General features: G+C 51.3%; 1 protein-coding gene and 1 long non-coding RNA gene across 17 annotated transcripts, besides 5 other annotated features; one reads left to right on the top strand and one right to left on the bottom strand.

Annotated features, from left to right (window-relative positions):
- DHCR7 (7-dehydrocholesterol reductase) lies at window positions 1-21,757 on the bottom strand. 16 transcript variants are annotated; one of them, NM_001425111.1, is made up of 10 exons: window positions 21,004-21,107; window positions 20,324-20,448; window positions 17,569-17,672; window positions 16,707-16,929; window positions 14,977-15,067; window positions 13,941-14,154; window positions 11,593-11,797; window positions 10,526-10,657; window positions 8,156-8,553; window positions 7,125-7,904 (listed from the first exon to the last, which is right to left on the bottom strand). In NM_001425111.1, the coding sequence occupies exons 3-10, from the start codon at window positions 17,664-17,666 to the stop codon at window positions 7,850-7,852; spliced, it is 1,416 nt and encodes a 471-aa protein (NP_001412040.1). In that variant the 5' UTR covers window positions 17,667-17,672; window positions 20,324-20,448; window positions 21,004-21,107; the 3' UTR covers window positions 7,125-7,849. The 16 variants fall into 16 exon arrangements, with proteins under 16 accessions (NP_001412049.1, NP_001412040.1, NP_001412036.1 ...); NM_001425107.1 differs by adding an exon at window positions 13,500-13,550 and having other exon boundaries at window positions 7,125-8,553; NM_001425120.1 differs by lacking the exons at window positions 7,125-7,904; window positions 8,156-8,553 and adding an exon at window positions 1-1,566.
- Window positions 20,774-21,413: a silencer, noted in NCBI's record as "silent region_3708". NCBI's record gives its function as "represses an Ori minimal core promoter by ATAC-STARR-seq in GM12878 lymphoblastoid cells {active_cell/tissue: GM12878}" and the evidence as "EXISTENCE:reporter gene assay evidence [ECO:0000049][PMID:35858748]".
- Window positions 20,774-21,640: a biological region, named in NCBI's record as "H3K27ac hESC enhancer GRCh37_chr11:71159471-71159972".
- Window positions 21,139-21,640: an enhancer, noted in NCBI's record as "H3K27ac hESC enhancer chr11:71159471-71159972 (GRCh37/hg19 assembly coordinates)". NCBI's record gives its function as "activates a minimal SCP1, AML or CMV promoter by ChIP-STARR-seq in naive H9 embryonic stem cells {active_cell/tissue: H9 hESC(naive)}" and the evidence as "EXISTENCE:reporter gene assay evidence [ECO:0000049][PMID:30033119]".
- DHCR7-DT (DHCR7 divergent transcript) lies at window positions 21,242-24,871 on the top strand. The gene is made up of 2 exons (NR_186309.1): window positions 21,242-21,599; window positions 24,404-24,871. It is a non-coding gene; the product is annotated as a DHCR7 divergent transcript (long non-coding RNA).
- Window positions 24,586-24,635: an enhancer, noted in NCBI's record as "active region_5166". NCBI's record gives its function as "activates an Ori minimal core promoter by ATAC-STARR-seq in GM12878 lymphoblastoid cells {active_cell/tissue: GM12878}" and the evidence as "EXISTENCE:reporter gene assay evidence [ECO:0000049][PMID:35858748]".
- Window positions 24,756-24,835: an enhancer, noted in NCBI's record as "active region_5167". NCBI's record gives its function as "activates an Ori minimal core promoter by ATAC-STARR-seq in GM12878 lymphoblastoid cells {active_cell/tissue: GM12878}" and the evidence as "EXISTENCE:reporter gene assay evidence [ECO:0000049][PMID:35858748]".

The following is a 25,300-nucleotide window of genomic DNA, read 5'->3' on the forward strand; positions in this document are numbered from 1 at the left end:
TAAACGTGGCACACCCATTTATTTATTTAGCTCTTCTTTAATTTCTCTCAGAAATAATTGTGGTTTCCAAAATACAGCAAGTCTTCCATATTTTTAATTAAAATTTCATTCTAAGTCTGCTGTGTTTTCAACACAGTAAATGTTATTGAAAAATTGATATGTTTACTTTTTTGCAAGAATAGAAATAAAATAGATTTTTGATATTGACCGTGTATCCTGCAACCTCACTAAATTCACTTATTAGTTCTAGTAGCTTTTTTTGTAGACTTCTTAGGATTTTCTGCATAACTATTGTGGGGACGGTCAAGACCACTCTCAGGTCTGATGATTCACTAAGAAGGCTCAGGAAACTGCAGCTTCCAGGGAAAGGATAAAAGTCAAAATCAGCAGAGGGAAAAGGTGCATGAGAGTAGAGTCTGGGGGAGACCAGGCATAAACTTCAAAGGGTCTCTCCCAGTGGGGTCATGCAGGACATGCTTAATTTTCCCAGCAACAAGTTGTGACAATACATGTGACATGTTACCAATCAGGGAAGCTCATTTGAGATTAAGCAGCCAGGACTTTTCAGGAGTGCTGGCCTTATACCGTATCCAGCCTTTGCTTGGCATGTGTCAAAATTCTAGACCTCCAGAAGGAAAGCAAGTGAACCAAAAGGCATACTATTTGTACAACAGTCTAGGCACAGTGACCTGCTCTTATCAATTAGAGTGGTGAGAACCCTACCCAAATCTAAATTCCCAGATGCCACTCAAGGGCCTACCTTGCAGGCAGGCCTTTCCAAACATAGTAGTTAGGGCCTGTTGTGTTAACTCTTTCCTTCATAAAAATCTTGTGAATTGTGCTAATTTACTTATTTCTTCCCAATCTATGTCTTTTCAAATCTTTTTCTTGCCTTGTTGCAATCTCTAGGATCTCTAATGTAATTTGGAAGAAGTGGCAGTGAAAATTCTTGCCATGTTCTTGATCTTATGATGAGAGAATCCAATATCTCATCATTAAATATGAAGTTAGCTGTAGGTTTTCTATGGATGTCTTTGCGTTTTTATTATGAATTAGTGTCCTTTTTTCTCCATCTATTTCATATAATAAAGTGGTTTTTCTTCCTTATTAAGTTAATGTGATTCATCATCAGTTGACTGTCCTATTCTTTTTGAGAGCTTTATAACATTCCATCATGTGGATGCACTTAATTAAACAGTCACCTCTTGATTTGCATAACTTGTTCCCGATCTTTTCACGGTTTTTTTGCACAGGACACTGCAATGCACAGCCTTGAACTTGCAGCCATTTCGCACATGGCAGGATATAACTGTGAGGACACTCCTAACAGTGGGATGTGTGGGCATAGGACCACCACACCCTGGAGATCTTAGTGTATTCCAAGGTACAGAGGGCCGTGGTGAACCTCCCTGCAGCTCCCTGCAGCTCCCTGCAGTCCTGTCCAGGGGGAAACAGCCCAGATGGTTCTGCAGACGCCTTTGCTGCCCTCCCCAGGGTCATCTCCAAGTCTTAAAGGGAAGGCAGCTCTTCCTGCCTCTACTCAGCCTCCACAGCAGCATTTCTCATCTGCAAGGCAAGTCAAGAATTCTTTCTCAAGACAGAGTGGAGTTCACTCCCAGTTAAAGAAAAAAATAATAACCATGTAATTCAAATGCCTCCCGCCTCCTCCTCACTTATCTAAGTCTGTAGCCTTCCAAGTGTGCTCAGGGGTAGGAAGAAGTGAGCCAACAACAAGGAAACCAGTTCCAGAATTGGCACTTCCATTGCAGCTAAGTGTTGCAAACAGTTCTGCAACTGAAATCCCTGGCCAGAAAGCTTGGCGGCCGATGTCTTGATGATCCTGGCTGTGGGGATTTGCATCAGTAGTTCTAACTGGGCTTTGACTGAGGTGGAGCAGTGCCAGAGGCCCAGGGAGGTGGTGGGCATGGCTATTGCTGTGTCAATATGGGAGGCTGCAGCAAGAGAGGTCTGACAGTCCACAGGGCGGCTGAGGCCCTCAGAACGACCCTGGCTTTTATTCTGAGCAACATGAGAAGACCTTGGAAAGTTCTGAGCAGTGGAGTGACAGCATGTGACTCACATTTTGATGGGATAGTCTGGCTGTTGAGCCGAGAACAGACTGTGGGCGGGGGCAGGAGGCAGGGAGACATGCGCTGAGGCTAAGAGAGGACAGAGCCTGGGACGGGGGCACCCGGTAGATGGAAAGCGGTCAGATCCTGGACATTTCATGGGCACAGCCACAGGCTTGCCCTCTGATGGAACGTGGCGTGAGGGAGGGGAGTCAGGGATGATACCTGGTTTTCGGTTAGAGCAACTGACATTTATGGGAAAAGGTCAGTACTGATTGAGGGGGTGAAGTCGAGTAACCTTTCAGATGCTGAGTGAGGTGTAGAGGGAGCATGTGGACTCATGAGCGGCGTTCAGGACAAAGGCATGGCTGGAGATGAAACCTTGGAGTCACCAAGCCGTGGAGGTGTTTAAAGCTGTGAGCCAGGTGGACTTGCCTGGTACTTGCCTCTTGCTAACAGCCATCTTGCAGCTTCCCTGTGTGTCCAGGTGACCACACTCACCCTGTGCAAACCCCCACCCCTGACCACTTCCTGGAACAACAAAGAGCTGGTCCACGTCTGTGGCTCATTGTTGAATTTGAGGCATTGAGTTTCCAAAAGCCAGACCCATCCCGTCCCCAGCTCCCAGTCACTGCGGTCTTGGTCTTCCCAGGTAACATCCAGATTTCCTAACAGATTTGGAGACCAAGGTTTGGGAAAGGGGCAAGAGTGGATCTGTGAGCTGAGGAGGCACTCAGGGAGAATAATCTGCCCATCCTGATGAAATAAACACACAGAGGGGACTTAGATCTCAAGTCTGCATGGAATGTTCTCCTCAATGAGGCCTCTTGACCAGAAAATCTGGCCGGGCTGTGGCCTGACGTTCCCTCTCCTGATAATGCAGGGTTTTTCTTGGTCCTTTCACGGGACTCACAGCAGGGGCGCCCCGTCTACTCAGCTCACTGTGCTCAACCCCTTGTGGGAGGGAGCATGTGAGCATGTGAGTGTGGGATCCGGCCGGCCATTCCAAGTGCAGACACAGGAGCAAGCTCCATGCAGGACCCGTGGCCAGACTAGGCGTGTTGCAGCACCCAGGTGAGGGTGCCTGTGACCCCAAAGCCCCAGAGGCAGTGTTACAGTGCTCCTTTAGTTCTGCCATTTGTGGGTGGTGGTGTGTTAGCAGCTCAGTTGTCCCCCTGCCTTGTCATGTGGGGTGGCTGCCCTCCACTGGCAAGGGCAAAGGGCTAGTGTGACAGCCTTTCTGGGTACTCACACTAGCTGGGTCCCACTCTTGCCCAGCATCCAAAAAGAATGAAGTCATATGGACACTTGAAGGATGGTGAAGGCCGAGAATTTTACTGAGCAACCAAAACAGCTCTAAGTGGAGAGGGGAGCTAGAGAGGGGCCAGGAAGGGCAGGTCATCTTCCCCAAAGTCAGGCCGTCTCCCCTCTACTGAATGAGTCTGGAGTCTTTATAGGTACAGGATGGGGAGTGCATGCTGATTGGCTTGTGAGTATGCAGTAAAAGGTTAAAACTAGGCTGGGCACGGTGGCTCACGCCTGTAATCCCAGCACTTTGGGAGGCCAAGGCGGGCAGATCACCTGAGGTTAGGAGTTCGAGACCAGCCTGACCAACATGGAGAAACCCAGTCTCTACTAAAAATACAAAAATTAGCCGGGTATGGTGGTGCATGCCTGTAATCCCAGCTACTCGGGAGGCTGAGGCAGGAGAATGGCTTGAACCCGGGAGGCGGAGGTTGCAGTGAGCAGAGATTGCGCCACTGCACTCCAGCCTGGGTGACAGAGCAAGACTCTGTCTCCAAAACAAACAAACAAAAGGTTAAAGCAAAGATGCCACTCAAAGGTGGACACAACAGTGTAGGAAACCAATTAGGAAAGGTTGGGTATATGTAAAATAGGTGAAGGGTGGGGATCCATCAGAGGGAAGTGCACCAAACAGCAAGACAAGTTGTCAGTCCAGTCCAAGGATAGCTTGGCTTTCAGGCTTTAAACTGTCTTTGGCTTGGAGGTGGGGCTTCACCGGGGATCCACCTCTGTCTGCTGGGCATTTGGCTGCCTCCTGTCGCTATCACTGACGCCCACCTCTGACAGTACTCCAGACAAGAAGGGCTGACTCCTGCTCCTGAAACAGCCCTCCCTGCAGGCAACGTGGTGAAACCAAGCCCAGTCGGCCCTCGGTGGCACCAGTGCCTGCGTGGAAACCCCCCTCCTGGCCAGAAGTCCTCCTCCTCCTCCTTGGCCTGCTTAGGGCAGGAAGGTCTAGTTTATTAAAAACAAATGCATTGTATCTGTCCAGGTGCAAGCAGCCTTCCTCACCACTACTATAATCCTGCAGAAGTGTTGCTGAAAAATAACATTTATCAAAAATACAGAAAAAAACCACTATCTATTACCTCCGCTATGCAGCTATGAATAGCATTAATGTTTATGTTTTGGTATATATCCTTTTATGTATATATTTCATATGAAAACTTTATTTTTTTTGAGACAGGGTCTTGCTCTGTTGGCCCAGGCTGGAGTGCAATGGCACAATCACGGTCCACTACAGCCTCAACCTCCCCAGGCTCAGGTGATCCTCCTGCCTCAGCCTCCTGAATAGCTGGGACTACAAGCATGTGCCACCATGCCCAACTAATTTTTTAATTGTTTTTACAGAGATGGGGTTTCGCCATGTTGCCCTGGATGGTTTCAAACTCCTGAACTCAAGTGATCTGCCCACATTGGCCTCCCAAAGTGCTGGGATTACAGGCGTGAGCCACTGCGCCCAGCAGAAAACTTTATTATCTACCATACTTGCACCAACATTGTTATTGAAACATATTCCTCCTCCCTTGATTTCTTCAGGGTAAATTTCTTGACGTGAATGAACAGAACTCCTACGTACTGTTTAGGAGAACACTGGCTTCTTGTTGACCTTGGTGATGCTGGGAGTTACTGCTGCAATAAAGTTTGCCAATGTGATCAAGTTTGCCAAAGGATCACGTGATGTTAACTTTCCTCCCTCTAATTACTAGGGAAATTGAACAGCTTTTCAGATCTTCATTGGTCATTTATATTTTTTAATGGTATTTTCAATTGACAATAATTGTTTATATTTATGGGGTACAATGTGATGTTTTGATACATGTGTAAATTGCAGAATGAGTAAATCAAGCTAATTAACATATCCATAACTTCATCTGTGTATTTTTGTGGGCATAGTGAGAACACTGAAAATTTACTCTTAGCAATTTTGAAATATATAATACATTCCGAACTATGGTCACCCACCATGCTGTGCCACAGATCTCAGAAACTTATTCTCCTGTCTAACCCAAACATTGTACTCTGTGACCTACATTGCCCCTTTGCCTCTCCTCCTTAGGTTTAAATTTGGCCTCTACCAGTTGCTAGTTCTGTCATTTGGGGTGAGTTGCTTTAAACCCCAGGCCTCAGTTTCCCAAGAAATCAGCTGTGCCATCAAAGACAGTGCCTGCAATCTGCGCAGCTCCTCCCAGGACAGAGATATGTGCTGAGCAATTGATTGTTAAATGTGGACCAGAAAGCAGATCTGCTGGAGCCAACAGCAAGCAGGGTGGTTTCTGAGAAAGGCCTCACCTCGCTTTCGAAGGTTGAGGTTGGAGAGGGTGGGGTGTATCAGGATTGAATCTACTCATGGGAAAATAGCCTCTCTGAATGTGCCCACTGGATTCCTGCCCTGACCCTGTCCTGGGGTACTGGATGCCTGCCCCTTATCAGAGGGCAGTGCCATGCCCTGTAAAGCACAGTTCAGATGGCCCTGGCAATTGGTCCGAGCCGTCCTTCATTCTGGAAGGGGGCAAAGGCCAGGCCAGCTTCCCAGGGATCAGGCACTGTGGCTTCACTGGGAACAGAATGCTCTCTGTACATGGAGAATGGTAGAGGCTGGCACTGTCTAATCTGAGCTCCTGGATCACCCTGTTCTCGCCCAGAGAGAAGCTGGCTCCATCTGGGGATGAGTGAGGGCAGACGTGTCTGGTGGGACAGAGCCTGGGCCACAGCCTTGCACCTGCAGAACCCATTGTACAAACACACAGTGCATGGAAGAGGAACCTGCAGCCCAGCACAAAGCTGCTCAAACAGAAACCAAACCAAAAGCTAACCTCAGCCAATTCAGAGGCAGGTCCACATCTGAACCAAGAGCTCTCCCAGCAAATTGGCCTGGAAAGCCCTTCTCACATCAAGGCAGGAAGATAATAATGACCCTCATCTTTCAAAAGAGGAAGCTGAGACACTGAGAGGGTAGGTCCCCTGAAGGTCATACAGCTCTTAAATGCTGGGGCCAGGATTCCAACGCAGGCAGGGAGGCCCGGATCTGAGCTCACAGTGACCACACCCCAGCCTCTGTGAACTGAATTTACGCAATGTCTGGGAAGAAAAGGCAGGGTCCACTCCGCTCAGAGCCATGCAGGGCAGTGTGCTCCCGTCTCCCCGGCATTTGAATCACTCTTGTGGTGTGTGTCCAGCACAGATGCACGGGACCCCTCAGGCCCATATCCTCAAACAGGTAGTGGTGGGGCACCAGTGCACGAACACTAGGGCTCAGCAGTCAGCCTGGGCGGGTCACAGTTCCGATACCCTCCAGGCTGTCTGGGAGGCGGCCTGGCTGTGGGACCAGTTCTCATGTGAAGCAATGAAGCCACTCTGAGCTTGGCCCCCTGCCCTGGCATGGGCACTGGGCTGCCTGTGTGAAACTCTTGTTTCTCCAGGTGCAAGACAAACCTGGCACTCTTTCTGGCTTCTCCATTCACTTGCCGGGGGCAGGTGGCCAAGCCTGGTTTCATCTCCTTGGGGGGGAATGGAATACTCTCCACATTCAACCCAAAAACAGCCCCAGCAAAGGGCTGACATGGGAGGGAGAGGGGCAGGGTGGCGCCACGCACCCACGGGCACCCAATGCTTTGACGCCGAGACCCAAGCATCTCTCTCAGACATCCCTTCTCATACCAGAAACAGAGCCCACGTATACCAGTCAGACCTGCAGTCAGGCCCATTCACGAGTCAGGCCCATTCACCAGTCAGAAACCACACAGCCACTTATTTGAACAGGGGAAGTTTAATATAAAGATGAACTCTACTCGGAGCATAGAGTTTAAAAAGAGTTCTACACAACACCCTAGGGATGAGGAAGAATGCCTCAGGGAAGAAAGCACAGAAAAGGAGGTGCCCTCCCGAGGCTGGGACTGAGACCTCCTCGCTGGAGAAGGTGTGGGAGGCCCCTGAGGGTGAAGTTCCCCGGGTTGCTCGAGCCAGAGTCTGCACAGTCATAGGGCAAGCAGAAAATTCTTTCGAGAGGGTGGGCGCTCACAGGGAATCGGGAAGCAGAGCCCACCTGCCTACACCTGAAAGGCCACAGCCGGTGCTGGGACCTCTCTGAGGTCTGCAGACTCCAGGCAGAGCACTCCTGGCAGCTGTGCAGCAGGAGCAGGAAGGAAACGACATGAAAGCCCCTTTCTCCCCAGTGTCCCAGTTCAACACCGTGCACGCTACCAAGGAGAAACGGCGCACGGGCCCCACCCACGACTGCAGAGCAGGCAGGGGAGGGGGATCTAGAGCTGAAAGGCAATACATGGATAACGCGCACGCCCCACTCCCACTTTTATTTAGCAAGAGTAAATGCAGCCTAATGACAGGGCGTGGGAAGACCTCCTGCTCACCAGTGTGGGCAGAGTGTAGCGTGGCCTGGGCTCCTAATACAGGTAAATTGTCTCCAAAGGACTAGTAAAGGTGACTGGGTCATCCTCCTGCCCCAGGGACACTGATTAGAGAAAATCCGTCTGTGCTGGCAATACGGCAGTGCTGGACACTCGGAATTCCCTTGAAGGCAAAAGCAAGGAACAGAGCGTGATTAGGTACTGGACACCTGCCAAGTGCTGGGCTCTCTCCAGTTTACAGATGAGGAAACTGAGGCTCCTCGAGTTGGAGCTGGGATGCCAGCCCCCATGGACCTGGCAGAACACGCTCTTGACAGCCCCACAGGGCTTCTCCCTAGGGCGTGCCCTTAGAAGATTCCAGGCAGCAGGCGGTAAGGCACTGCGGCGGTGTAGCGCTCCCAGTCCCGGCCGTACTTGCTGGCGCAGCGGTGCTCGTCCCGGAGGCAGCGGTGGGTCAGCAGGATGGCCATGTAGATGATGTAGAAGTAGGGCAGCAGGTGGCCGCCGCCACAGGCCAGGCAGTAGGCCAGGCTGCCCATCAGGTCGCCGACGTAGTTGAAGTGGCGGGCCACGCCCCAGAAGCCCGACACCAGCAGCTTGCTGTGGTGCCTCTGCCCATCGGCGGATGTGTAGGAGCACTCGATGACCTTGGGCTTCCTGCCCCAGATGAGGCAGCGCCCATCCGTGCGGCGGAACAGGTCCTTCTGGTGGTTGGCCACCCGGAAGATGTAGTAGCCCACCAGGCCCAGCAGCAGGACGCCCACGGCGTGCGGGGTGGACAGCTGCACGGGGTGGTACACCAAGTACAGACCCTGGGGGGCGAGGGGGAAGGGGTCAAGCGGTGCTTTGCCCAGGGAGAGGACAGGAGTGTGGGCTCGGGGGCCCAGCGGCCTGGGGTCAAACCCCAGCTCTGCCTCTGACACACGCCTTGCCTCCGTGTTCTCTTCTGTGAATAAAAGCACCAACCTTGAGGGCTGTTGTGGTCATTAAATGAGTAACTCTACCTGCCTTCTACCTGTCTGTGTGTGTATGTGTGTGTGTATATATACCCCCTATATATATGACATATAGCATAAACATCAAATATGTAACAGTATTAAAAATATAATCTGAATTTAATATTGTGATGGTCAATTTAACGTGTCCACTTGGCCAGGCCATTGTTCCCAGATATTTGGTCAAACACTAGTTGTAAAGGCATTTTTCAGATGAGGTTCATATGTTAATCAGTCAACCAGGCAGAGTGGATGACCCTTCACAATGGGGGTGGGCCTCATCCAATCAGTTGACAGCTTTAAGAGACAGAAGACCCACCTTCCCCAAAGAAGAGGGAATCTGCTAAAAAGTGGCCTTCTGGCCATGCACAGTGGCTCACACCTGTAATCCCAGCACTTTGGGAGGCCAAGGCGGGCGGATCACGAGATCAGGAGTTTGAGACCAGCCTGACTAACATGGTGAAACCCCATCTCTACTAAAAGTACAAAAATTAGCTGGGCGTGGTGGCATGCACCTGTAATCCCAGCTACTCGGGAGGCTGAGGCAGGAGAATCACTTGAACCCAGGAGGTGGAGGTTGCAGTGAGCCAAGATCACACCACTGCACTCTAGCCTGTGTGACAGAGCGAGACTCCGTCTCAAAAAAAAAAAAAAAGTGACCTTCTATTTAAGCACAGCATCAACTCTTCCCTGGGGCTCCAGGCTGCCCTGAAGATCTTGGACTTGTCACTCTTCAATCACATGAGTTGAAAAATACATCTCTTTCTTACACGTATACCCTCCACCCCTCTATTGATTCTGCTTCTTGGGAGAAACCTAATATATAGTATAAAAAATGTACATCTCGAGACACACACAGAGGCTAAAGCAAGTAAGAGCTATTATATAGTGGGACCTATTGCTACGTTTTCACATCCTTGGAAAATGGAGTTTATAAAACCAGGGAACCAGCAGACCTGCAGCCAGCCAGGTGGAGAAATGGGGCCGGGTGGGCCATGCGGGGGGCTCCAAGGACCTGGTGTGAGCATGGGGCCAGCTGGGGCTCTGCACCCTCCACCTGGTACTGGCCCCCTCTGCTGTGGGAATCCTGGTTTTCCAGGACACCCGCACCTCCATCCCACAGGACTGGCTGTCACAGGTGATGCCGGGCCTGTCACATCCTGAATAGGTGACAGCCTCTCCACGTTGGTTCTCTCCACTTGGGCACAGCCTCTTGGGGCAGGCCACCCCACCGTTCTGCTAAGCAAGTGCCCTGGGGTGAGTTATTTCTGTCCCCAGGGGGCTCGTTGCTCTTGAAATGGGCAGGTGGCATCTGGTCAAGCAGCCACCTTACCTGGGAGCCCAGCACTCTCCCCAAATCAGAGCAGGGCTGCTCTCGTTGAGCTGGGAGGGGAGTGGGGGGCTTGATGCCAATGACAAGGCCACTTGCTATCCCCTACTGTCCTGGAACTCCCAGGGCAGCCCTGCCCCAGTGCCCAGCACATCCTAGGAGGCAGGAATGAAGAGGACCCCTCCTGCCAGTGCCCGCACTGACCCACCTCCACCTCCACTGCCCCATCCAGCCCTGAGCCGGCATCTGCCCTACTTTGCAGATGTTAGGGACATACTCAAGGCCACCTCCCTGGCTGCTGGCCCAAGCTGGCTGAGCTGGCTAATACACGAGGCCTTCCCTTCTTCCTAGAAACAGGGGGCAGCTTTGGTGCCCCCAAGGACAGACGCTTCTGCAAGGAGAAAGCTTAGCATGTGTCTGCCAAATGCCCCGCTGGGCCAGCTCTGCCCACCTCCTCACCTGCAGCGTGTAAAGATAAGGCAGCCAGACACAGTCGCCCCAGCCCAGGTACCACCCGAAGTGGTCATGGCAGATGTCAATGGTCTTCAGGTACCAGGTTTCGTTCCAGAAGAAGTCAATCACGTAGATGGCCTGCAAGACAGAAGCAGCCGCTGACCACCCCCGGCCCTCCTGGGGCCCCCATGGACCTCGGGGAAATCACACTCCACGCAGATGCAGCAGGGGGTGCTCGGGAGCTGCTCAGCAACTTCCTCAATGCTGGGGCTGTTCCTTCCCTGCGGCTGGGGCTGTTCCTGCCTGGGTCATGGGCAGGGCTAAGGGCTTCCTTGTCCTCAGAACCACCCCGAGCCCATGGCCCTGGCATCTCTCCCAGCCCAGGTTCTCAGGGCTTGCAATGGCGCGTGCCAAGGGGAAGGGATACATTCATCCCATCCAGGTCAACCTCCTGCCCGAGCAACGTCCACAGCTCCTGACAGGCCTCCCTCACCCTCTCGGGTTCTCCTAGCCAGCTCCCGCTGGCTCCCTGGGTGACGCTTCCGAATGCACCTGATCGCTGCCACCCTGCACCCCAGCTCAGCACACACTTTCTGGGTCTTGCTGCTTTTAAGATAAAGAGGAAGACTTCCATGAGGCCTCCAGCCTCACCTGGCTCTGAGCTCCTGAACGCTCTCTGGTCAGGATGCGGGATGTTTCTGAGTGTCCCAGACTTGCCACCCTCTCTCCCTACAGGGGGTTCCTGGAGCATGCACTCTTGCCTCCACTCTACCAGGTTAACTCCCACACACCCCCAGATTCTACCCAGGTGTAATCCCCAAGGGAGACCTTCCTGGACCACGCCTGGCTGCGTAGAACCTGCCTCCTCCCCTCCCAGGGCTGGCAGAGACAGGCACCCAAGGATGGCTTCCTTCACCAAGTGCTCGCCGGCTGCTTCCTGGTGACACCTGGGGAGGGCAGCTGACTCTCTTTTACAAGCAGTAGATTAAGGTCATGGGAATACGCTCTGGCTTGCGGGTTCCCCCAGAGCCTGCCGGCATCGGCGTTTCACCCTCTCCAGCCATGACAGGCACCTGCAGGACGTTGACCAGGACCATGGCATTGGTCACATGGCTGTGGAGCTCCCGCTGCTTCGCTGCGAAGGACAGGTTGATGAGGGTCCAGGCGACGATCCCGGGGCGCCCATTGAAGAACAGCTTGAAGTCAAACCACTTCCCGATCCGAGGGTTAAACTCGATGCCCATCATGTAGTTGTAAAAGAAATTGCCTGTGAATTTGCTTAAAAATATAAATAAAAGATACATTTAGTGGATGAGCATATCTCACAAGATGAAGCCACCTTACTTAGCGAGAGCCCAGCACTGGCCCAGGGTCCTAAAGGGTAACGTGAGACGGCGCAGGCAGAAGCTGGCCATGAGCCGCTGGGACCCCCACGGCTGGAATGCTTGTCGGCTGGTTCCTGGCGCCCTCATTCACTTTGCTTTGCATTCAGCTGCTGCTCAGCAGAGACTTCCTTAGGCAGAAGCCCAGGGGCACCTGCTCTGCACCCGGGAAGGGTGGGAGACCGGCCCTGGGCTGGTACCTGGGTTTCTCTCTACCCTTCTCCAGATGCCCTTGACGCATGGCACAGGTGAGCTGAAGAACTGGCTTGATTGCACTGAGATTACGTTCTGGGGCCCAAGCACACGGTTTGAAGCCGACGCAGGGCACGTGGGCCCTCATGGGTGAGTGACATTATAAATCACGCCAACGTAGAGAATGACAAACGCACCCTGGGCCCGGCTTCCAGCATGTGCAGGACAAGTTCTTTGACCAGTTACCTGAATCCCCCAATCCCCGGAGGGCCAGAGCATCAGCCGAGATAACCCCTGTGGAGACCCTGACTAGGTCTAGCTGGCTGAGGACACACAACAATTTCTGTGTTAACTAGAAAATCCTATTTTCATGTCCAGTTCCCTCAGGTAGGGTAAGTAGAAAGAAGCAAAACACACAAAGTCTACATGATTATAAGGTAGCGAGGATGATTTCCAGGAGCCATTGAAGGCCAGCCTCGTTATCTGATAACACACAAGCTACAAAGTGTCATCCTCCAGAAACATTTCCCAAGAGCCTAGGTGTAAACCACACTGGGGTTTTTTGGATCCCCCAAACTGAACTGTAAGTCCCACTGCCTACAACTGTCCACAAGAGAACCCCCCAAACATTGGTTTATGATGGATGGATGGATAGATAACAGGGTGAGTGGGTGGAAGGATGGATGAATGGGATGGGGAGAGGAGCAGGTGGATGGATATATGATAGGCAGGGTTGAGCTGGGGTGCAGGGTGGCAGGGATCAGGTGTGTTCAGAAGTGTCACCCAGGAAGCCAGAGGGAGCAGGCTAGGAGGGCCTGAGAGGGTAAGGGAGGCCGGTCAGGAGCTGCGGACATTGCTCAGGCAGGAGGTTGACCTGGATGAGATGATGCATTCCTTCCCCTCGGCACATGCCATTACAGGCCCTGATAGAGTGGATGGATGGGTAAATGGATGGATGACGGGCAGGTGGATGGGTGGGTGGCTAGATGTGTAGGTGGGTGGGTAGGTGGATAGGTGGATGGACAAATAGATGACGGGTGGGTAGACAGACGGGGTGGAGGGTGGATGGGCAGGTGGATGAGATGGATGATGGATGGGTGGGTGGGTAGGTGGAAGGATGGGGAGATGGGCAGGTGGATGGGTGTGTGGCTAGATGTGTAGGTGGGTGGGTAGGTGGATGGGCAGATGGATGAATGGGTGATGGGAGGGTAGATGGATGGATGATGGGTGGGTGGATGTGGGTGATGGATAGGTGGATGGATGATGCATTGGTGGGTGGGTGAATGGGATGGGGCAATGGGTAGGTGGATGATGGGTGAGTAGGTAGATGAATGGGTAGGGGGGTGGATGGGTGGGTGGGGAGATGGGCAGGTGAATGGATGAGTGGACAGAGATGAGTGGCTCACCACTGTCCAGCCATGGGAATGGGTACAAGCCAGCAGGGCTCTCCTGGGAAGCTGTTAATTAAAGCCACAGGGACAATAAGACTCTTCACTAAGGTTGTTTTGGGCCTCACCAGCTTATCCAAAGAAAGAGGCAATGGGCTGCCTGTGCCCCAAGCCAGAAGTTTTTCCTGGCTTCCTTACCCCCACGCCAGCCCTAAAGGCAATGACTTGGCCACCACAGCTGACCTGGCCATCTTCAGCTGCATTCTTGCCAAGGCTGGAGAAGCCACCAAACATTCAGAAAGGATGTTCCCCAGGGTGAAGCAAGTTCCATCCCCCTCCTCCTCTTCCACGGATTCTCAGTGCTCAGGGCTTTACAACCACCTGCCCCAGGCAGCAAGAAAGGCCAGGGGTGAAGTTTGCACTTTCTACATCAGGCTGGACCCGCTGCTAAGAACATACCAGTCTCTGGCGCTGGTGGGGAAGAAGTAGCCCTTGACCATGGCGAAGGTGGAGACGGCATAGCCAAGGATGTTGGCGCACCACAGCAGTGGGATCCAGTTGTCGAAGATGATGGTGGGCGAGAACCAGGACAGGAGATGAGCGTTTGCAAACCAGAGCAGGTGCGTGAGGAGCCAGGCTTGCAGGCCATTGATCTGATACTTGTTCACAACCCCTGCAGATGAAGGATTCAGAAATGAAGGCGCTTTCCCAACCCGCAGTGAGGAGCTTGGCTGGGCTGAAGCATGCCTGGCGGGGGCCCTGGTCACTTTCTGGGCCTCTGCTGCTGCGGACCCTCATCTGGGGCCCCAGGAACCATCTCTGAGGCCCCTATACCCTTGGCCAAGGAACTACCTGCTCCTAGGAAGAGGGAGGGGAGGCTGAGTCCATCCTTTGGTTCTGCATCTCGTTAACTGGCCATAGGCTGAGTGACAGGTGTGCAGTCTGATAGGGAGGTCAGGGCTGAGGGGCAGAAGCAAGTGAGGATGCCCCTGTGGTATGCCTGGCCCCCTCTGTAATTGTTGGGGAGCACCTCAGCCCATCCACCCCTCAAAACAGGGAGCTTCTGGGGGCAGAGTTGGGATGCGGTTCCAGTCTGCACCCACGTGAGAGGCACAAAGCCAGGCTCCTCGTGGGTTCTCAATGATGGCAAGGAATGAACAGACAAGGTCTCCCACGGACAGCCCCGAGGAATGGTGGTCTCTGCATGGTGGTCTCTGCAGGAAGCTTCATGGGCCGAGTGCATCCCCTGCTATGGGGCTGGGAAGGAGCTGGGCCATCCATTCCCTCCTTACCCAGGAAAGTGATTTCTAACCTGGGTGTGGGATGGCCCCAGCTGCCCTCAATGGTTTTGAGGCCTGGTGCTGTGAAAAATCCAAGCAAAATGGATTTCTATCCTGTGACAAGTCTTAGGGACAAAGCAGCGCTGGGGAGGACTGGCCCCTGAGAGAAAGGGATGAGAACGGGAGCCTGGGGAGGGTGGAAGGGAGGAGGCTACCTGCAGGAGTCACGGCCCCCTCCTGGATGCCTCCTACGTAGCCGGGTAGAAACTTATGGCAGAAGTCAGGGAGAGACGTGTACAGAAGCACCTGAAACACACAAGCAGCCTGATCACCCCCCGCCTGGAGGGCACCTGCAAAGGGGGACGCATAGCAGGAACATGAGAATCACAATCATAGTCTTTTTCTTCCTGAAGCACTTATGGCTCCTGGAAGCTCAAACTGCTGGGCTGTGGGTTTTGAAGGGGGTTCTGAGACAATAAACTCATCAACCAGGGAAGGTGCCAAGGCGTTCTCCCCCAGGGCTCCATTCGCCCCTCAGGAGAGCGCACAGGTCCCTCCCAGTCACCTTTTTAAAATGGAGAATCCCATAAAATTCAACTTTTTATATATATATATAAATCTATCTTTGAGATGAGGTCTTGTTCTACCACCCAGGCTGGAGTGTAGTGGTGCAATCATAGCTCACCGCAGCGTTGTCCTCCTGAGCTCAAGTGATCCTTCCACCTCAGCCTCCCAAGTAGCTGGGATTACAGGTGTGCACCACCACACCCGGCTAAAATTCACCCTTTTAAAGTGCACAATTCAGCGGCATTTAGCGCATTTACATGGTTGGTTGTACACCTATCACTGCTAATTCCAGAACTTTTCATCACCACAGAAGAAAATGTTGTTCCAATCTCCGGTCACTCTGAATTCCCTGTCCCTGCCGCCCCTGGCTGCCACTGAGCTTTCTGCCTCTGTGGATTTGCCTGTACTGGGTATTGCATATAAAGGGAACCACACAGTATGCAGCCTCTGTGACTGGCTTCTCTCGCTCAGCAGTGTCTTCAAGGGTCATCCGCCTACTGGCATCAGAGCTTCATTCCCTTCCGCTGCCAAATAGTGTCCCACAGTGGGCACAGTGTTCTGTTCTGTGGGTCCATTCATCTACTGATGGACAGGTGGGGGTTCCTGCTTTGTGGCTATTTGTGATTCACACTGCCCCTGTCATTTTTCACTCAAAGGGACCAAGAGATCTGAACTGAGAAGTATTCTGGAGCCCAGAAGCTTGGACCCTGGGGAGAAACAGCTAATCATGATCTGAGCCTTCCTCCCGCCCAGGAAGGAAAACCCAGGCCTGTCTCTTTCTAGCACCGTTTCCCTGGAAACCTTTTCCTGGGTTCAGGCAATCAGCACCACCCATGTGTGCACCAGGTTTACAACAACCCCTTCCTGGAACTCCCTCTGGACTGGGAGGCCAGTGGGGACACCATGGAGCTGAGGACGTCCTGGACCTGCCTCGACTGCCTGTGGGGAAACATGGCCCTCGCTTCTCTGAGTGGCATCTCATGACTGAGAGAGTCCCTTTGGGGACTGAGATGCTCCTTTCCAGACCTGGTGCAAGGCGTGACTCCTGCTGACAATGGGGCTTCCTCAGGACAGCACTGCCCTCCCACGGGGTTTTGCTCCTATCCTCAGCTTGTCCCTGCAGAGCTGGGCGTGCCCAGCAACTGCATGCAGGCATGCCGTGAAGGTGTATCAAACGCTGATGTGACAGGTGCCTCCTGCCTTACAGCTGAGGATGAATCTGAACATGTCAGAGTCCAGGGAATGCCCTGCTGGGTCCCGGGAACCCAGATGTCAACCTGAGCCAGGATCCATGTCCCAGACAAATGGAAGGACTACCCCAGCAGGAGGGCACGCTCCCCACCTGCTGTGTCCCAACCCCAGGGCAGGGGCTGCTGACCTGGAAGGTGACCCACAAGGTATAGAGCTGGGCGGCTTTCCTCGTTATAGGTGGAGTCTTGGCCCAGATGTCCGAGAGCCGAGCATGTCCGGTGACGATGTCCACCACAGGGCCAGTCAGGGCGCAGCTGTACTGGTCACAAGCCATGATGAAGTAGTAGACGATGAAGGGGGCGAACAGCAGTAGGAAGATGACGCTCGCCAGTGAAAACCAGTCCACCTCCCTGCGAGGACGGATGCAGGCAGTCACACTGGGGCCCATCTGCCCTGGGCCCCACCAGGACCCTAAGAGGCTCTGTGTGGGAGAACTGTTGCTCAAACCCACCAGTACCCCATGACAGAAGGCATTAGCTCCTAGCACGGGCCCTCCTTGCGGCCAGGGAAGCCACTCAACATGCCTGCTCTACTGTAGTTGATTAACTGGTGGCACTATCTGTGGCCCCCATGGAAGGCCCAGAGCTCAGAATATGAGCGGAGGTAGGTCTTTCACAACCACCAAGGCCAGTGGTTTCCCCAGTTCCAGGTCGGAGAGGATACTCACCCTGCACGAAGTCCCCATGGTTCTATGGCGAAATGGGAGCTGTGACAATAGGTCATACCCCCAGATGGTGGGAAGGCCCCAGCTGCCCTTTAAGCCTTTATCTTTTTTTCTAAGTTGTTGACTGACCATGATTTCTAGTTTCTTTTTATAATTCCTTACTTTATAAAGTGGAAAACTGTTTACCTTTCATTAGTCTTGACAAAAAAAAAAAAATCTTTTTTAAAAAGGTCCTTCATTCCTTTGGGTCCATACAATTCCAAAGGCTGGAAAGCTCTGAGACCACACTTTACTTTCTAGCTGGGAGAACAGGCAAGATCCTTACCAGGCACGGCCCCACTGCCCTTGAGATGCGGTTCTGTCATTGGTGACGCCATCTAGACTCTTGGCTTTGGGAATGTTGGGTTGCGATTTTGCAGCCATTGGGCCCTGCAAGAAAGAGAACCTTGCTTACATTATCCCTCAAATAACAGACACCACCTTTCCCTGTTGCATCCACCACTGCTCCTGGGCCTGGCAGGGCTGGCCTCCTGTGCACATCTTCCCGGTACCTTGTTCCTGACAGCAGATTCCAGGCAGGGAAGAGATCATCTTGTCTTAGACTCTCTTCCTTGGACCCTGCAATCACCTCCCACGTGACCTTGCTATGGCTGCTCTTGCTAGTCTCAGTTCATTCTCCAAACATGGCAGAATGCCCCCCCTCTTACAGCACAAGCTGGCTCCTGCCTCCCTCCTACACACCACTCTCCCCTATTCTCCTTTGGCTCCAGGAACACAGGGGTCTTCACTCATCCTTGAACACAGTTTAAATTGTCTGTGGCACTGACTTCCTCTGCTTAGAGCACGTTTGCAGGTGTCCTTGTTCAGGGCTCATGTAAAATGTCCCCTCCTGGGGAGATCTTCCCTCTCAGCCAATCTGAAGCAGCTGCTCCCCAGCTTCCCTGCCAAGGCCCTCCACTGGGTACTTTATTTTCTTAGTAACTCTCCCCATCGCCTAGAAGTATTCATTTGTGTGTGTGTATTGTCTGTCTCCCCTCACTAGAATGTAAGCTTCCCAAGGGCAGGAATTGTGTGTCCTCTTCATTGTTCTACTACCAGGGCCTAGAACAGTGGCCCATGTAGGACCATCAATAATCACCCTTCAAAAAAAAGGGGAAGAGAACACAGAATGTCTCTAGGTACCCACAGCTGCTCTACATGGTTATAATTTGGGGGAAGCAGTGACATCCCCACTTCCAGAACAAGTTCATAACTGTGAAGCTTTAAAATATCTGAGATTTTTTAAAAGATGCTCTTGAAAGCTTTTAGAGAAAAAACAGGAGTAAAAATCACAGTAGGCTTAGATTTCTCAACAGCAAGCTGGATTCTAGAAGACAATGATGAAAAACTTCAAAATTTTGAGGAAAACTTTTTGCAACCTAGAATTCTACTCCTATGTGAACTATTACTCAAGGACAACAACATAGGATCCAGGAAACTGGAGACCCAAGAGAGCTGCTGAAGCCATGTCCACAAAAGGGCAGGGGCAAGTCCCAAGAGGACAGCTATGCAGCAGGACTAACCAGAAACCAGTCCACATTGGTACAAGATGAATGGCTAGGAAAGAGAGGAAATGAAAATGATGAATTTTGTTGCATCTGAATGTGTAGGAAAATTATTGATATATGTGACAGCTCGGTTAGAGCATCCAGAAAAAAATGAATGAGAGATGCATAGAAACCTTACCAAATGAAAAAAAAAAAAAAAAAAAAAGGAAGGCAACTGTTAACTCCAGGAAAAATAAAAAGTCATATAAGGAAGGAAAAAAAGAAACCAAGCCATTATTATAGGACCTTACTTGGCTCAACAGTGAATAATGGTAATTTTGTCATAACAATGTATACTCTGACTATTTATTGACTATTGTATGCACAGAAGGGAATTTGCAAAGTTAGGGGTACTAAAAGGAAATTACTTAGAAACAAGTAGGTACAAACAACAACACAAAAGTAGCTGAAAGAATGAAAAGTGTTTGCTGCTGGCAAGCAAGACTGTCGGATGTGGGATGTGGTAGAGAGTATTTCTTCTGAAGCCTTTTAACACTGATTTTTAAAAAAATGTGTGCATGAATTACTTTAATAAAAATTCACACACATTTAAAAAATTTCAACGATGAAAGACATTTTCCTTATGCAGTGTGAGAACTTCAGTACCCGCACTTCATTCAATTTACACAAGTTAGTTTATGCAGTTCCTATGATGCACAAAACAAGACGAAGAGTTCTTGATAGGAAGAGACCGTGTCTCTCTCCGGCCCCAAATACTGAATACAGAGCCTGGCGAGTGCCAGTCACTCTCCTTATATCTGTAAAATCAAAGTGGATGAAAGAAAACTACTTCTGAGAAAAGCTGACACGCTAGTGAGTCTGATCTCAAGATCACAGCCACCTGGACAAGCTGGCTTGCTTTAGACAGTTCCTCTCCCCCAGGCTCTCATCAAGGTAAGATACAAGCTTAGTTTCTTCCCAGCCAAAACTTACCAGCTCAGTGCCCCCACTCCCTCCGATCCCTAGTTCCCACACTGACTGGTGTTAATCCAGACCACCCACATGCACACTTGCCTTACAGGAAGGCTAAGTAGAATGGGGTGGCATTCGTCTTGCCCCAAGCCATGGATAAGCTACAAGGGGACAATGCCTGGTACCAACATTATCAATTATGTAAAACACTGGGAAATTGCAAAAGGGTCAGGGGATGTGTAACCTCAGAACTAAAGTGTGAAAAAGCCACTGGGAGAATGTTGTCAAAAGGGATTAAAACAAGACCAAAGAAGTACTTTTAGCTTATTACAGAGTTCATTCACCCAGGAGTCAGCTCTTTAGCCACAAGCATTGAGTTGTGCAATAAACATCTAAGTAACATCCTTCCCAATAGACGGCTGGGAACAGACAAAGGGGAGGTGCCCTGGTATGTTGTATTTTACTCATAAGAGGCACAGACAGTCGTTGGCACTCGAGAGCTGGTGGACCAGTCTGTCTGTACTTTCAACGCTGTGAAGCCATAGCCTGCGCCCACGATCCAGGGCACTGAGATACACTTACCTCCAGCCTCTTGCCAAATAGTTTCACAGCAGAAGGGAACTTTTCCTTCTTGAACCGGCCCCTTAAAAGTTTCTAGACACCTGTGCTCCAAATGCCTGCTTGATCCTTCTCAACCGGCTAAAGTCCTGCAAGGAACACAAAAATGAATAAGACCGCAGGCAGCTGACATTTCAGGAGAGGGCAGAAGCTCAAGGCCCACAGTAGGAGTCAAGCAAGAGGCAGAAGGTCCAGTGCTCAGGGCTTCAACAGCCGCATGTCAGGGAGGACGGCGGACAAGCCAGTCCCATCGCAAAGCTGCTGTGCCTGGCTCAGCACTGACAAAGAGGGAGGCGAACAACAGGTGGGGCAGGAGAAAGAGCCGCCGCGGAGCGCGGCATGGGGCCAGGAGCCGACCCCGGAGCCAGGCAGCCTTCGCCCGGGGAAGCTCCAGACAGCGCGGGGACAGAGCATCCCTCAGACGCCGGCTCGTGGGGGAGGGGGACTATCCACGCCTCCGCCCCGCCTCCCCGGAGCCCCAGCGGCCCCTCGCCTGTGAGCTGGACCCTCTCCCCACCTGCGCGCACGCCCCCTACCCCTGACCCCACCCTCGCCCTGTGAGTGGGCACCTGCTCACCTGGGCAAGCGCCCCCCACTGCGCACACCTTCCCCTGGCCTCACCTGCGCACACCTTGGCCACTCACCTGCGCACACCTCGGCCCCTCACCTGCGCCCACCTTCCCCTGGCCTCGCTTGCGCGCGCTGCTCCACGCCGCCTACCCTCTAGCCAGGGGTCGGAGTCACCCGCAGGGCAGGGGCGCCCGCCCCCGGATGATGTCAGCGATTGCCTGCCAATCGGAGGCGGACCCTGCACGCCCGGCGGCTCCGCGCCCCGTGATTGGTCGAGGAGCCTGAGCTGACTCCGGGCCCACCGCGCCCGCCATTCGGCAGCGGCCGGACTCGAGATTGACGGCCCAGGCCCCGCCCTGCCGCCCCACCGGCCCGCCCGGGCCCTAGTGGGTGGGCGCAGCCTCTGGCGCTTCTTCGGGATCCCAGCTGACCAGCTGGGGGTGGGGCGTGGCGGAGTGGCCACGTGGGCCGCGCGGAGAACGCGCCAGGCTCATCACCTGGATCATCGTGCCTCAGTTTCCCCCTCGGCAAATGGGGCTTCAGCGGCTCGCGACGCACATTGATGGAGCGTATGTCCAGGCGCCGGTGCACCGCAAGGAGCAAAACAGACACAGTTCTTGGTCCTAGGGCTCACGTCCCGGGGCGAAGAGGATCCTCCATAAACGATCAGGTAAACACATGGGTGTCAGGGAAGGCTCGCCGCTGGGAGACCGCCAAAGTGACCCGAGATGGAGTCTGGGTGGCCTGCTTATTAGGGGGGCACACCTGTGCGAGGACGGGAGGGGAGGGAGCAGCAGGACTGGGCAAAGGGAGAAGCTGAGCCACAGTGCGAGCCGGACGCACGGGCCACGTTGCGAGGGCATGACCTGGGGCGAGGCAGCCCTGGAGGAGGGGGCAGCTGAAGGTGTCTGCTGACCCCACACCCAACAGCTCGGGTAACAGGCCTTACTGTCAGAGCGATCTGGTTGCCACGTCTCTGTGGCCCTCAGAGAGACATCATGTTTTCTTTTTTCCCTGCACCTTTTTGTTTTGAAAAATGTTCAGCATACAAACAAGTTGAACGTAAAGTGAGCACGCAGATTCCTAGGTTCAGCAGGGGTGAGCAGCTGGCCACGTTTCATTTCTCTCCCTCTGTGTTTATATATGTGTATTTTTCTTTTTTCCTCCCCACTCAGCCCCCACCATTAGCTGCAGATACCGTGATACCCCCCTCCCAAATACTTCGGTATCCAACTCCTTAAGAACAAGAACCTCCTATATTACCAAAATACAATGACCACATCAGTTCAATGCTGTTATCTATTTTCCATCTCCAGTTTCCCGCGGTTGTCCCAATAATGCCCTTTACAGCCCTTTTGTTATTGTTGTTTTGTTTTGCTTTGTTAAGACGGGGGTCTCTGTCACACAGGCTGGAGTGTAGTGGCACGATCACAGCTCACTGCAGCCTTGAACTGCTGGGCTCAAGCGATTCTCTTCCCTCACCCTCCTGAGTAGCTGGGACTACAAGAGCACACCACCACACGCTATTTTTTTTTTGGTAGAGATGGGTGGGGGGGGGGGTCTCACTATGTTCCCCAAGCTGGTCTCGAACTCCTGGGCTCAAGCGATCCACCCACTGTGGCCTCCTACAGTGCTGGGACTACAGGTGTGAAGCTCTGCCCTACAGCCCTTTTTTAAACCCCAGGATCTAATCAGGGAGCCACACTGTGCATTCAGGCTATGCACTTTTTTTGGCAGGATAATATACTACATAGAGCATGTTTTATCTTGTTAGAAGGCTGTCAACCTGAAATAACCAAACAGGTCAGAATTTAGCTTAAAGAGAGTTTATTTAAGTGTATAAAGTTTGAGGACAGGCTGCCTGGGAAGCACAGATTTTAAAGAATGGAAATCAGTATTTTGAACTGTAGATGTTTGGGATCATTTATGTAGACAAATTTTAGGGAAGTTTAACAGAATTTTAACATCTTTTTATGCATAAAGTTATAATCTGACCAGCTGAGGTGGTCTTTTTTAGGTGGAAGGTATATTTAACATTTTACACTGAAGATGTAGGAGTCTGGTCTAAGTACGGGATAATAAGAGACAATCTATAATAAAGATCAGTAATTAAAAGGGGAGCAGGCCTGGTCTGTGGTCTCTCCTAGTCATTTATAAAACATGAATGATAAAGAAAAACAGCCTATAATCTAAAAGACAAAATTACAAACATGCTATGTGACCCAGTTTCTAGGACTTAACTTCCCTCTTGACATAATAAATTTATTTATTTTTATTTATTTATTTAAAGACAGGATCTTGCTCTGTTGCCCAAGTTGACCTAATAAATTTCAAGAGTCCTAAAATTTTCTTTTTTAAGACAACATATCACTGTGCTCCATGATTGATAGTGGGGCTCCGTGGTTTCTGCCAGAAGTCTCCATTTTTCCTTTTGTTATTAATGAGTAATTGGTGCAGTGATACTTTGAGACTGTAAATATGCTGTTCCCAAATGACCTTTCACCCAGTGAACTAGCATTTAATGAGGAATCTTGCCTGAATCCCTTATTTCTTGGGACAAAGTGTTAATTTTCTAATTTTATCATTCCCTCAACATTTATTAATAAATTATTTATTAGCAAGCATTCTTCTGTAGGGATTTCCTCTTTGATTTATTTTTTATCAGTATGCCCTAATGGATTTAGCTGACCGAGTTATGATCCTTACTGTATTGTCCTGTATTTAGCTAACGGGAGCCCCTTCAAATTGGCTTCTTTTTTCATATGACATGTATCTACCATCCTTTGAGTACTTACTTATTTTCTGGGACAACCAGATGTTCAAGGATCCTCCCCTTCTCTGCCCAGGCCTGGCATCAGCCATTGTTGGCAGGAGATAATTTGAGCAGATCGTGTGGATTTCAGAAGCATGAAAACTACTGTGAGGATTAAATAAGTTAGCATGTATAACATTCTGGTGCTTTTGTGGAGTTTCCAAATTGTCATGAACAAGCACTACTTTATAGACAGGAAAAAAAGTGATTCAAAATGTGAAAACGGGTATATGTACATAAGGTAAAAATAAAATCCTAAGCCCCCCATTGACCAAAGGGACCTTCTCCTGACCAAGGGGACACCAGAAAAACCTCAACACTGAATTCCCAGACATGATGGGATGGGAGGTCAGATGCGCCTGGTAATAGCCCCCTGTTTCAGAGTTTGGACACCACAACTGGCCGGCATTCATGTTAAAACAGAGATCGTAAGACTGACAGAACGGACTCTGTGGCAATAAGATACCAAATTATAAACAGGACCCAAAGCCATGCTAGGCGAGGGTAAGTCAGGCAACCCACACTTAGAGAATAAACTATATTCTAAGAGCCACAAGGCTTTCTGTTTCTCTATTAGCCAAACACACACTAGCCTTGGGATAGGGAATATTAAAACAATTGCAGCTCCACTAGGTGCCAACTAACTGACTCTGTTTCACCAGCCATAGCAGCTGTGATTGGACAAGAGACTGATTTCAGTGACTTTCTCCTAATAAGAGACCACCGACCAGCTGACCATGCCGACCAGCTGACCCGTTAATAGAGAGAGATGATGCACCTGCATGCCTTTGTGTCCTGAAAAGACGTTTTGCCATAAAGGCCCTAATTGTAAGATGTGTAAATGTTAAGTCTCCACCCCAAAGTGAACATGGGTCATATATTACATGCTTTGCTCAATAAGAGGGCATGTGTCAGGACCACCTTCATGAATATTCATAGCTCCTCCTGTTACCTGTTGAATATGTATGTTTAGCCAATCCCTTCAGCATAGCGCTCCTGCCCCAACCCCTCCTCCTTGGACGTGCCTGTCTCTGGCCTTGGCTGGAGACAGATTCCCAGCCTCAGACAGATGGCCGCCACCTTGCAGGCTACGACCGTTTACAAGAAATAAAGCCTTCTCTTTTTCCAAATTTGTGAATTGTGTGTTTTTAAACTAACATGAATGACAGAAGGAAGGATGGCCTCTTCAAGCAACGATGATGAGGCAGTTATTTATATGGGGGAAAAATGGATTCTACCGTGGGTGGACTAAAGAGGAAATGTGAAAAAATAAAAAGTGAGAAACCGCTGGTAGTGAATCGGTGCAAGCGCCCTGGAGAAGAGACTTGGCAATATTTAGTAAAGTCAAACAGCACGAACCCTACTACTCTGCAAAGCTGCTGCAGGAACTGGCGGAACGAGGTCACGAAGGAAACCTTGCCGGAAAGGAAATTGCAGCAGTGCCTGTGTGCGTGCGTCTGTTGGCAAAACGCTGCTAATAACGTCAATGCCCATCCGCTATTGAATAAACCTGCTTTACTGCCACTATGGAATACCAAACTGCAGAAAAATAATTAAAA

This window comes from Homo sapiens, chromosome 11, assembly GCF_000001405.40.
Source record: "Homo sapiens chromosome 11, GRCh38.p14 Primary Assembly".
Lineage (NCBI taxonomy): Eukaryota > Metazoa > Chordata > Mammalia > Primates > Hominidae > Homo > Homo sapiens.

Bases quoted from the DNA above. Each gene is read 5' to 3' on its own strand.
- DHCR7 (NM_001425107.1), bottom strand. From the start codon at position 17,666: ATGGCTGCAAAATCGCAACCCAACATTCCCAAAGCCAAGAGTCTAGAT. The intron at 13,551-13,940 runs GTATGTTCTTAG...TTTAATTAACAG, and splicing joins CCCACCAGCGCCAGAGACTG to CTTCCCAGGAGAGCCCTGCT. The intron at 10,658-11,592 runs GTGCCTGTCATG...TCTGTCTTGCAG, and splicing joins TCCTGGTCAACGTCCTGCAG to GCCATCTACGTGATTGACTT.